The following is a 12,833-nucleotide window of genomic DNA, read 5'->3' on the forward strand; positions in this document are numbered from 1 at the left end:
TCGGTAATAAATAAATTGGAGATTGGAGTGCTATGTTTTTCAAATTTCTGTACCCAAATTATTATTTGCCTGAGAGATTTGAGGTGGCTGCATAGAAGCAGAATGAAATTTCATGGAATCTCATGGTGAGAAAGTGATTGTACTTTCAATTCACTTTCTCTCCTTCCAATTGTCAGAGAGTTGTCTCAGTTTGGGGCTACTATGTTTTTAACACCTCTCAACACTTGCTAATCTTCCCTTTTTTTAACAAAAGAAGGAGCAGGTGTCAGGCTCAGAGCCTGGGGCGAGTAGCAGTGTATAGCTGGAATTTAATAATGTTCTCTTGTTTTCATTTGTATCTATTTTAAGGCCTTCCTCTATTTATAAACAGGACACTTATTTTCCATTTACAATTGTAATATGAAGTTTCCTTTTTAATTGCATGTATCAAGTTAAAAAGTAAGCCAATTGCAAAAATAATAATAAGCAAATAATAGTATAGGAAACACATGCATAAATGGACAGCAATCATTATTAGTCTTGTGTGGGCAGCTGAGGCTTAAGAAACATTCTATGGGAGACGTGGCTTAGGAGGAAGGAAACCTAGGTTAAGAGCCAGCTCCATCATGCACTGTGTTGCCTTGAGAAAGGTTTGTGACTCTCTGTTTTGGTGTCAATTAAACGCAGATAATAAATTTCCTATCTTATCACATAGTCAATGTGAAATAATTATATAAAGCACATAGTAGGGACTCAACAAGTGGAAACACCTGCTGTGCGTATTTTGTGACTAACATACCAATTTGCACACGTGGCATCTCTAAGGGTCCCACGTTTGGGGTAAAACAACCTTCCTTGTGATCAAAATCCCAACAGTAGTTTTTTTTTTTAATTTTGTGGGTATGTAGTAGGAGTATATGTTTATGAGATATTTTGACACAGGCATGCAAAGTGTAATTATCACATCATGGAGAATGCAGTATCCATCCCCTTAAGCATTTATGCTTTGTGTTACAGACAATCCAATTATACTCTTTTATTTTAAAATGTACCATTAGGTTAATATTGGCTATAGTCACCCCATTGTGCTGTCAAATAGTAGATCTTATTCATTCTTTCTATTTTCTTTACCCATAAACCATCCGCACCTCCCCGCTACCAACCTCCCCACTACCTTTCCCATCTGCTGGTAACCATCCTTCTACTCTCTATGTCCATGAGTTCAATTGTGTTTATTTTTAGATTCCACAAACAAGTGAGAACATGCAGTTTGTCTTTCTGTGCCTGGCTTATTTCACTTAACGTAATGATCTCCAGTTCCATTTATGTTGTTGCAAATGATGGGATCTCATTCTTTTTATGGCTTAATAGTATTCCTTTGTGTATATGTACCACGTTTTATTTATCCATCCATGTAACAGTAACACTTTTTGAGCACTCACTGTGCCAGATGCTGTTATAATCCTTAGATATGTATATTATCTCATTTAACATCCTCAGTGATTCAGTGAGGTGGGGAATATTATTATCCTACTTCACAGTTGAGGCACAGGGAAGTAGGGTAACTTACCAAAATCAAACAACTAGAAAGTGGAAAAGGCAGAACTCAAATTCAATCAGCCTAATTCCAGTGTGCATGCACTTAACCATTCTCAGAAACCAGACTTTCCTACATTTTGTGGACCTACAGCAAAGTTTTGTTGTTGATGATGAGGGTGATTGTATTAGTTAGGAGTCCTTTATATACAAGAGATATAAGCCACACAAAGCTGGATCCAATAATAAAGGGGATGTATTGGCTCTCATACATGAAAAGTTGAATGGCTTCAGTTCCAGATAGATCCAGGAGCTAGAGCAATGTCATCCCTGTATTCATTTCTTGACGCTATTCTCCATGATGTTGATTCCATTCTTATGCAGCTGTCCCTTGGGGTGGCAAGAGTGCTACCAGAGGGCCGCACTTTTATCCTTTTTTAGCAACCTCTAGCAAAGGACAGTTTCTTCCTAATGGTTTCAACACAAGTTCCAGAATTGAGTCTCACTGGCTCTGGTTGTCCTGGCTTTGATAGGTGCTCATCTCTGAACCAACCACTGTGGCCAGGGGGCATGTGATGCTTAAAATGACCAGGGTGGGGTCATGCCCCCTTTCTGGAGCTGGAGTGAAGCCACCTCTGCTTGCATCAGATAGACTGAAAGTAGAGAAGGGGCTTGTCCCTCAGAGAAGAATCTGCTGCTCATCATAACAAGAGAGAACGGATGCTCAGCAGGGAAATTTATGCCCTCTGTGAAATCTTATTTTTAAAATTCATTGAGAAGATTTATGGGCTACACAGGAGGGAACAGACTGGAGTTTCGTCACTTCTCTCCTACTGGTTTGTTCTGTGACAGACAACCAAATAAACTCTAGTGGGTCTCAGTGTCTTCAGTTGCTACATGGGGCCAGTAACTCCCTCCCCACATGCCTCACAAGACTATTCTAAAAAGCACACGCAATGATGTTATTTATAAATGTAATTAACATTGTGGCTTTTTTCCCCTCCAGGGTTTCCATAAGAAGCATATTTTAGTTCAGGGTTTTTTTCCAAGTGGCAAGTACCACTCTCAAAATCCCAATGTAGTCAGCCTCTATTGGATTTTGAAGACCTGCCTTTATTCCTCCCCGCAAGACTGAAATGCCGCACATTTGGTATGGACTCAATAGCAGTTTCAAAGAGGGCATGCTATGTGCCAAGCACTGTGCTGGATATTTTTATATGCCACCTCATTTAGTTGTCAGATGACCCTGTTCTGTCATGAGTAATAAGAAGGAGAGAGAATAACACAGGACAGTTAGCTCTGGAGAGCTGAGTTCAAATCCTGATTCTGCCTCGAACAGCAGCAGGACCATGGCAAGTCACTTAACCTCTCTGAACTTCAGTTTCCTCACCTGTGAAATGGGAGCAACACAGAGGTTATGTCATAAAGTTGTTGGGAGGATATAAGGAGCTAACACATGTAGTGGGCATCTGCCCAAGGTCACAGAGCAGGTGTAGGTGCCTGCCCTTTCTGCTTCCAGAACCCATGCTGTACTGCCTAACAATAGAACGAAATCTCTTCTGGGGCCATGTAGGGACGTCCTTTAGCTTCCAGCAATTGCAGGGTCTCTGGGCCCCTCCAGTCTCTCCAGATTTGCTGTGTACACCCTGGCTACAATTGCCTGCTGCAATGTCTTGAAATAACTCTGCTCTTCCGGCCAGCCCCCCTCTCAGCCTCCCTCCCACAAGGCCCAGAATAGCCATGTACATCCTGGCTCCAAAACAGCCTGCATGATGCTCCCTCCCCTTTGATAATAGCTCAGCTTTGTCTAAGTTCTGGCATCTCCAGGACCACAGTGCCTCGTGCAGCCACAATGAGGCTTAAGTATGCTATGCTATCATGTAGAGATGTCATTTGATGTCAGCTACAAGGAGATGTCACCTCATCATTTTACCTGGGTGGCTGGGGAGGCAGTAAAGATGATGTTATCTCACTTTGCTGATGGAGAAACCAAAAGATTAGTGACAGGTCCATCGTGATGGTCTTATGTAACATTCCGGTGAAGCTTTACCATTGATTAAGAGAGCTCACATTTCTGTCTCACTTGGAATCTCTTTGCTGTGACCTGCAAGGCATTCAAAACCTGGTGCCTGCCCACCTCTCTGATCTTATCTTCTGCCTCTCTTCTCCTTTCCCATTTTTCTCAAGTCTTTCTCACCTCTTTTCAGTTTTTCAAACCCACTAAGCTATCTGTCCCACCTCAGGGCCTTTGCACATGCTGTTCTCTCGGCCTCACTTGTTCTCACTCGGCCTTCTTTTGCATGCATGGCTATTTTTTTTTTGCCATTCAGATTTCAAGCAATTCCCTCCCAGTTGCTCAACACTTCTTCCTTTGTTGCACATATCACAAATATAATTACACATATTTTTTCCCAGAGCACTTATTTATTTAATATCTGTCTCCCATGCTAAAATGTGAACTCCATTATAGCAGAGACCCACCTGTCTTGTTCATTAAGTTTCTGCAGAGCCCACTACAGTACCTAAATCTTGGAATCTTTCTGGCAGTAAATATTTTTGAAGGAAGGAGAGATAGGTTTGCAACAATGTTATTTGGTAAGCAACATTACTCCCATTCAACAGATGATAAGATATAGGCACAGAATATCCAGGGATTTTCCTAGATCACCTCAAGGCTAAGAACATAAAAGAAATGAAACCCGCATCCTCAGACACTTGGTCCATGGTTTTTATTCTTTCTTTTTTAAATTAGGTGAAGAAAGAAATAGTTGGGTTTTTTTCTTCAATTTTTATTTTAAGTTTTGGAATACATGTGCAGGATGCGCAGGTTTGTTACATAGGTAAATGTGTGCCATGGTGGTTTGCTACAAAGATCAACTCATCACCTAGGTATTAACCCCAGTGCCCAGCATCCACTAGCTATTCTTCCTGATGCTCTCCCTCTCCCAGCCCCCTGACAGGCCCCACCATGTGTTGTTCCCCTCCCCGTGTCCATGTGTTGTCATCATTCAGCTCCCACTTAGAAGTGAGAACATGCGGTGTTTGGTTTTCTGTTCCTGCATTAGTTTGCTGAGGATAACAGCTTCCAGCTCCAACCGTGTCCCTGCAAAGGACATTATCTTGTTCCATTTTATGGCTACATAGTATTCCAGGGTGTATATATACCACATTTTCTTTATCCAGTCTATCGTTGATGGGCATTTGGGTTCATTCCATGTCTTTGCTATTGTGAACAGTGCTGCAGTGAACATACGTGTGCATGCATCTTTATAACAGAATGATTTATACTCCTTTGGCTATATACCCAGTAATAGGATTGCTAGGCCAAATGGTATTTCTGTTTCTAGAGCTTTGAGGAATCACCATACTGTCTTCCACAATGGCTGAACTAATTTACACTCTCATCAGCAATGTAAAAGTGTTCCTTTTTCTCTGCAACCGTGTCAACATCTGTTGTTTCTGGACTTTTTAGTAATTGCCATTGGTCCAGGGTTTTTTCTATCCCTCACAGCTGCTTTCAGAACAAAGGCACAAAACCATGATCTTCCCCAAGGGATGCCAGGAAGGACATCTCCTGGAAAATAGACTCTCTGGGCTGATTCTTGACCTACAGATTTAAAAAATCACTGGGAAAGAAGATGGGGAAGGGAGTTCCTGGAAGAGGGAACAGTAGGTGCAAAGCATGTAACTGCCTCATTGCAAGCACTGGGCATATAATAAATCTTTTCTTGATTTACTCATTTGTTCATTCATTTATTTATATGAAATTTATTCTATATCTGCTAGGTATTATACATTTTGGGATGTACTAAAATACATAAACAAGTAATAACATTTAACACTAATAATACTAAGTATTAATGAAGTCATTAATAAATAAAAAGGATTAACATGTGGTTAACAAATAGTAAAGATTAACAATAATTAGTCAATCTTTAATGAGTTCATATTGTACCCCAGACACTGTATTCAGTGCCTTATAACAATGAGATAGATATTCCCTGAGACTGATGGGAGTTGTCCCCATTTTACAGAAAGGTAGACTGAGGCTTGAAGAGGTTAAATAGCTTTCTCATTTTACTCAGCCCAAAAGTGGCAAAGCTGGAAATGGAATTTAGGTACTTTGAGTCAAAAGTCCAAGTTCACAATCTGTTGGTCACCTTGCTCTTCCTATAGCTCTTCTCTGGTACAGAGTCTAGCATATTATAAAATATTTCTAATGAAAATGACACGAGCATTCCTTAGAAGTGTCAGCTACTATCAGAAATCTTTTCCCCCTCCCCACTTCTTCTGATGCTTCCTAGAGTGGAGACAAGCCAGTTACTGTCTGGTCTCCCTAGAGGACACACTCCAGCTCCATTCCCCTACCTCTCTTCCTCTTTCTCCTCCCTTTTTCTTTCAGAGCCATTGTTCTCTTAACATGTTTTGCCTTCCCTCTAAGGCTTCCCCTGCCAATAGCAGCTATATTTGGTGTCTTCCACCCCATCTTGCAATGGTGTGTGTGAGTCCTGCAGTGAAGAGGTCTGTGATCACCACCCCACCCGCAGCAGAGCCAGACAGAAAAAGTTGCCTTCAAATCCTGCAATTACCTCTCCTTAGATTGCAGCTATTTAGCTGGAGACACCTCTGCCCAGCCCTCCTCTGTGCCCAGCAAGCTCAAGATCTGTGAACAATAGAGCAGCAATTCAGGGCCTCCGGAGCAGTCCTCAGCCCTGTAACCACTTCTGTTTGGGTCTTGGATTAAGAAATATTGATTCTACCAATTAAACATCCCCTTCCCTACCCACCCTGTCCCTTTCTACTTGACATTCAACCCCTTGACAACTATATTGAAAAGACTCAGAATGCTGCTTTTATTCATTCATTCATTCATTCATTCATTTGTTCATTTGTTCATTTTGTTTGTGTGACAGGTGCTGTGACAACCAGATACAGGTACCAGTTAATAACATACCTGTTTGTTTCTCGCTATGTAGTGGGGTTACAGAAAAGGCACATTTATCAAGGACTTGGGGAGCCAGAGGAAGCTTACAGAGGAAGTACTGATTAGGATAAAACTTAAGGTATATGCAATCATTGGCCATGACCAGGAAAGAAGAGAGGAGCAGTGCATGTGTCCCCACTATGTGCCAAGAGTGATGTGAAAGAGGGCCTGGCCCACATTAGGGAAATGTCTCCCTGGCTACATTGTAGGGTGAAAGTTGAGAATTGAGAGAGTGGAAGCTGGGGAGGTGGAAAGGGATTCTGCTGTGCAACATAAGGGACATGATCTTATCTTAAAGGCAGTGGGAGCCACAGAAGGTTTTAGGCAGTTGCATCTTCTCCATATCTCATGTCGCTGCTACCCTGGCTCTTGACTACTCTTCTATATCTTTCTACCAAGAAATTTTTATCCATTACCAAGTCATACCCTGTTAGCCCAGGACTATCTATCCCTCAAGCAAACCAGATTTCAAGACTGAAATGTCCAGAATCTCTGGGGAAAGGAGAGAGGGTGCAGAGTCCCTTCATGTTGGAGGTCAGTAGAAGATTTGTGTTGACTGGTTCATCAGCCAGTTCTCTGCTTCATGTCAATCCAATCTTCTGTATGCTGAGGAACCATGATTAGTAGAGTGAAAGCCCTAGGGTGGAAGTTGAAAGTCTGGACTAGGCACTGCCCTGACTTTGTGTAGATTTAACCCACTTTTCCAGATCTCAGTCTCTCCATCTATAAAATGAAGTAATTAGAGGCTCTTTCGGCTTTGATATTTCATGAACTAATGGGTATCCAGGAAGAGCAAAATGATATCTGAGAAAACAATTACCTGAAAATACCTGCATATTAATATACGATGCACAAACTCTTTTCCTTGGAATTACTCACTTCGGTGGACAGATGAACAAAATAGGAGAAAATAAAGTGTCCAGGAGAGCCATGGATCCAAAGTGGAAATGTCTATTGATATGCCACTCCTATCCCACACTGTTGAACATGGATGGGCATTTTCACATGTATCCATGTGAGCGCTCCCACACATTTATGTGACATGGATAACTACCTGTGTGTACATTAACACTCATGCACGTACACATTCACACTCATTTACACCCTCATCCATTTACCCAAATGCACTGAGGGCTTTCAGTATCTTAAGTGTTCCTTATGGCAGTCAGGTCTCTGAGTGTTCTGTAGGAATTAGTAGAGTTTGTGTATTATCTGTAATTTCTTTCACAAGACCCCCTCCCAAGTATGGCCCAAAAGAACAAAAGAATGAGGCCCGGGACTTCAACCGTGTAACACTCAGCTTCTCATTCTATCTTTAGCCCTGGAGAATTTCTCTCATATGCTGGATCCTCTGTATTTTACATTCCAGGCTTTCCAATTCCCAAAGGACATAATGACCTCTGAAGACAGCTTCTGGGATGAGATCAGCTCACGCCCGCTCTTATCAAACATCTTATCAACCTAACTCATAGTGTGAGATGAAAGGAGGAACACAATCCCTACTTGCCAATTAAATCCTGGTCACTGGCTAGTTTGCTTTAAGAATGTAGCCCTAAACGATACCACGTCCCTTCCCCACCTCCTCCTGTAGGACACTGGAGTGTTACTTTCTGTTCTCATCTGAGCATGCCTACTCCCTCCGTGCACCTCTTAGTATGGAATGTGTGTGTGTGTGGGCATGTGTGCGCATGTGCACATGCAACAGCATGTGTGACAAGCCTGTGTACTCAGCAGCAGAAAAGTCCTTGAAGGTTGAAGGAATGAATAATGGAAGGAAAACAATCGCCACCCTGTCAAGCCCCAGACCGAAAATTCTTCAAGATGGACTCAAAAATAGCAATGTTTCCCGCATGTTAATTATCTTGTTCCAACGGTGGGGGCAGAGTGTCCTTGAGATGTGGTTAGAAAAGAAAAAAAGGTGTAGCCCTGCGTGTGCACTTGGGTGTGTTGGCAGAACTTCCGCTCAAATCCAGGGGCTTTGCTGATTCATGTTTCCTAGAGCCTGACGGCGGTTCAGCACCAGGGACAGCGACCACTGATTAAATAACAGGCTGCAGTGAATCCAACCATGAAAGCACTACCTGGCTGTTGCAGCCGTCCTTGCCTATTGAACCTACTAGTTACATTACTTTTCAGGTGTCTCTCACTTTTACGGAATGCGTGCTATTGAAAAGTTCTGTGTAAATCTATATTTTATAATGTGGTCAATCTTGAAACACATTTACTTATTTCCAAACAATCTTCCAAGGGGTTGAGGCAGGAAGCTAGAAGATTTTGTCCCCCTCATTTCTGAAAAGATAGATGTGTCCTATAACTTAGTAGTTAAAAGTGTGATAGGATATACCAGAATTTCTTGGCATTATTGACATATGGGGCTGGATAATTATTTGGGTTACTGCTCTGTGCATGATAAGAGACTTGCAGCTTCCCTGGCCTCGACACACTAGATTCTTATTGTATTTCCCCAGTTGTGACAACCAAAAGTGTCTCCAGATATTTTTAAATGTCCCCAGAGGGAAAAAATATCCCACCTCCATTGAAAATCTATGGATAGATATGCAGTCATGCGTCACTTATAAATGGGAATACATTCTGAAGTATGCATTGTTATGCAAACATCATAGAGTGTACTTACACCAATCTAGATGGGATAGCCTACTTCACACCTAGGCTGTATGGTACAGCTTGCTGCACCTAGGCTACCAACCTGCACAGCATGTTACTATACTGAATTCTGTAGGCAACTGTAACACAATGGTAAGTGTTTGTGTATATAAGCATATGTAAATGCAGAAAAGGTACATTAAAATACAGTAGAAAAGATTTTAAAAGTGGTTTATCTGTATAGGGCACTTGCTGGAGATTTCAGGGCTGGGAGTTGCTCCTGGTGAGCCAGGGAGAGAATGGTGAGTGAATGTGAAGAACTAGGACATTACTGTACACTACTGTAGACTTGATAAACACTGTAAACTTAAGCTACGCTCAATTTATTTTTTAAATAAGTTTCTTTCTTCAATAATAGATTAACCTTAGCTTACTTGTGCTTTTTGGGCTGTATAAACTTTTTCATTTATTTAAGCTTTTCATTATTTTACAGTAGCACTTAAATGCAAACACACTGTGCAGCTGTACAAAAAAAAATCTTTATATCCTTATTCTACTAGCTTTTTTGATTAAAAAAATTTCTTTTTACTTTTTAAACTTTTTTCAGCTTAAACAAGTTAAACCTTTAAACTGTTTTAAACTTTCAAACTGTCTTAAAAACTAAGACACAAACACACACTTTAGCCTAAGGTCAGGATACCAAGATATCACTAGGTGATAAGAATTTTTCATCTACATTATAATCGCATGGGACCACCATCTATGTATGGCTTGCCATTAACCGAAAGACTGTTATGCAGTGCACAGCCATGCCTGGATTTGAATCCTGGCTCTGCCACTTATTAGTGGCCCTAGGCAATGGGCCTACCAGATTCATGGCTTTAGTTTCTCATATGCAAAATGAAGACAACATTAATATTACCTTATGGGGTTACTGTGTGGACTGAATAAGATATTGTTTGTCAACTTATTTAGCAAAGTGCTAGACACATAGTAAGCCTTCAGTAGATGCCAGTGTCATGAATAAGGTTGTTTTTGTCATCCTCATGATCATTATCATCTCAGCCATTTAACTTCAATGGTTTACGTTATCACATTTCTAAATAATTCATTTAGAAAACATTACTGGTATCTACTAAATACTTGGCACTCTGCTAGGCAATAGATGTTCAAAGATGAACAAGCCACAGTCTCTTTCCCTAAATAATTAGTAAGTTCCAGATTTAATGTCATGGTTATCAATGCACATGACTCCCATGGCCATGTATGCATGAGACTTTATTGTGCATTTATTAGTAAGGATAGGCTTGGTTGTGCTATAGTAACAACCAGCCCCAAAATGTCAGGGGCTTAGAACAACAAAGGTTCCTTTTCATGTTTATACTACATGTTTGTCATGGGCTGGCCAGAGACCCTCCTCCATGTTTTCCTCTCTCAAGAGCCAAAACTGAATGAATCATCTAGAATGTCTGTAGTTACTAAGACAGAGGAAAGGGGGAAAAGGCGAATCACTCTTGCCTTAAAACTTCTAGCCAGAATTTTCACACATCAATTACGTCCACACTTCACTTGTCAAAGAAAGCCATGGCACCATGGTACCTAAATTCAAGGGGAAGAGTAAATGCAATCCTATTTTGTGCCTGGAAGAAGAACCAAGGTATTAATTAACAGCCTTAATAACTACCACACAACAATTTTACAAATGCTAGACATTGGTCTCTGGGAAATATTATGAGTAAGAGTGAAAGAGTGAATCTTGTGAGTAAGAGTAAAACCCTTCCCACTAATAGAAACAATTCAGTAAATAAAGAATACCATCAAACACAAAATATAGTATCTATTCTCTTGTGAATGAAGATGGGAGAGACAGAAACAGAGAGAGATGGGGAAATTGAGATCAGTGGAGCCTCTCATCTCCATTCCTAAACCCATGTAAGAGCCCCAGGCTTTAACATACCATGATCCTGGGCTATATACTAACAACATAAGAAGAGCTCATACTTTCAAAAAGAAAACAAGAAGCAAAAAATACCCCCACATCTGGTTGATCTTATTATCTTCTGAAAATAATTAACAAGAAAATTTTAATGGGAGCAGGGTGAGAGCAACTCCATTGATTTACAACTCAAATAGGAATGAATAATCCACATCAAGGCTTCCTTGGCCATTTCATTTTGGCTTCCAAAAACCCCATTATTAATTCATTTCTAAAGTGATCTCCCTCATTCCCAAGGGGTATATCCTGGTAACTACGTGCTTACAATACTCTATTTGATTAAAATTTAACAAGCTATGTTATTGGCAAATAAACTATTTATTTCAGTGCTGTTGCCAATGCCAAAAGGAATGTTTCAAACAAAGGAATGAAGTTGACACACTAAAGAGATTGTCATTAATAATTTACAATAGCCAAAAAATGCACACATATAATTTTTTTTAGTGATGGCACTGGAGTATGAAAAGCCAGAGGAGTCAGCCAAAGTCCTCTGGTTTCCTGTTTATTAAAAGAGGAAAACCAAAAACTTGAACTTAGGTTGGCATGTGGTGTAGTGGAAAGAACACTTCAGAAAACTAGCTATAACTCCGCTCTTAACCTGCTGTGTGACCTTAGGCAAGCCACTTAACCTCATTTTCCTCTTTTCAAAATGAGGCTAAGAAAAACCTTGCTTATTTAAAGCTTAGGGGTTTGTCGGGATAAACTGAGAGAAAATATATAAATGTACTTTGGAATGCAGAAAGTGCTTTATAAATGTCTTATACTGATAAGAGCTTCTCCTCCTTGCTCCTCAAACCAGACACCAATTTACCAGGCATAAATTTGTGGAAAAGGGGGAAAAAATGGTTTTCTCTAGCATTTTTTTGGATGTGTATTGTCAGGAAAAAACACAAGTAAAGTTCAGCTTCAGTTGATAATGAAGACATTAATATGAGCGAACTGCCCCCATGAATCCTTAATTCCCCTGCTTTACTGATAACAATACGAGTTATGATTTGCTTAGCATTTAACTAACATATACTAGGAATCATGTTAACCTCTTTATATATATTATGTATTATCTCACAACCACTTCAATGAGGTGGGTACTATTAACATTCTCATTTTCTAGAGAAGAAAATTGAGGCTCACAGAAGTAGGTTACTTGTCCAAGGCCACCCAGCTAATAAGGGGTAGGACCAGCAATCAAGAACCTACCTCAGATCTGTCCAGCTCCAGAGCCTCAATTCTAAATCTCTTGTCTCCTTTGGTTCTCACATTGGTTGGGAACACACTGTTCTGAGTTGACCCCTGCCCTCCATCAAAAATGTAGACAGCTCCAAGTGAGTCAGATCCCCTGACTGAAACAGGGAAATATCAGCCAATTTGAATACCAGGCCCACTTGACTAAAGGTTGTTTCCATTGAACTATGTAGGACCTAACACAGTTGACAGCCCAGAGTAGGAGTTTAAAAAAATCCATGGGTGGCCAGGTGCGGTGGTTCATGCTTGTAATCCCAGCACTTTGGGAGGCTGAAGCGGGAAGATCACAAGGTCAGGCATTTGAGACCAGCCTGGCCAACATAGTGAAACCCCGTCTCTACTAAAAATACAAAAATTAGCCCGGCGTGGTGGCAAGTGCCTGTAGTCCCAGCTACTTAGGAGACTGAAGCAGGAGAATCGCTTGAACCCATAAGGAGGAGCTTGCAGGGAGGCAGAGGTTGCAGTGAGCCGAGATTGTGCCACTGCACTCCA

At 40.8% G+C, this 12,833-nt stretch overlaps 1 protein-coding gene across 1 annotated transcript in view, besides 2 other annotated features; it reads left to right on the forward strand.

Annotated features, from left to right (window-relative positions):
- Window positions 1-12,833, forward strand: part of SRRM4 (serine/arginine repetitive matrix 4) — a 181,511-nt gene that overhangs the window by 71,349 nt on the left and 97,329 nt on the right. The window lies entirely within an intron of this gene.
- Window positions 2,740-3,241: an enhancer, noted in NCBI's record as "NANOG hESC enhancer chr12:119493434-119493935 (GRCh37/hg19 assembly coordinates)". NCBI's record gives its function as "activates a minimal SCP1, AML or CMV promoter by ChIP-STARR-seq in naive H9 embryonic stem cells {active_cell/tissue: H9 hESC(naive)}" and the evidence as "EXISTENCE:reporter gene assay evidence [ECO:0000049][PMID:30033119]".
- Window positions 8,392-8,592: a silencer, noted in NCBI's record as "peak1997 fragment used in MPRA reporter construct". NCBI's record gives its function as "represses an SCP1 promoter by STARR-seq MPRAs in K562 erythroleukemia cells {active_cell/tissue: K562}" and the evidence as "EXISTENCE:reporter gene assay evidence [ECO:0000049][PMID:32103011]".

This window comes from Homo sapiens, chromosome 12 (assembly GCF_000001405.40).
Source record: "Homo sapiens chromosome 12, GRCh38.p14 Primary Assembly".
NCBI classification, from domain to species: domain Eukaryota; kingdom Metazoa; phylum Chordata; class Mammalia; order Primates; family Hominidae; genus Homo; species Homo sapiens.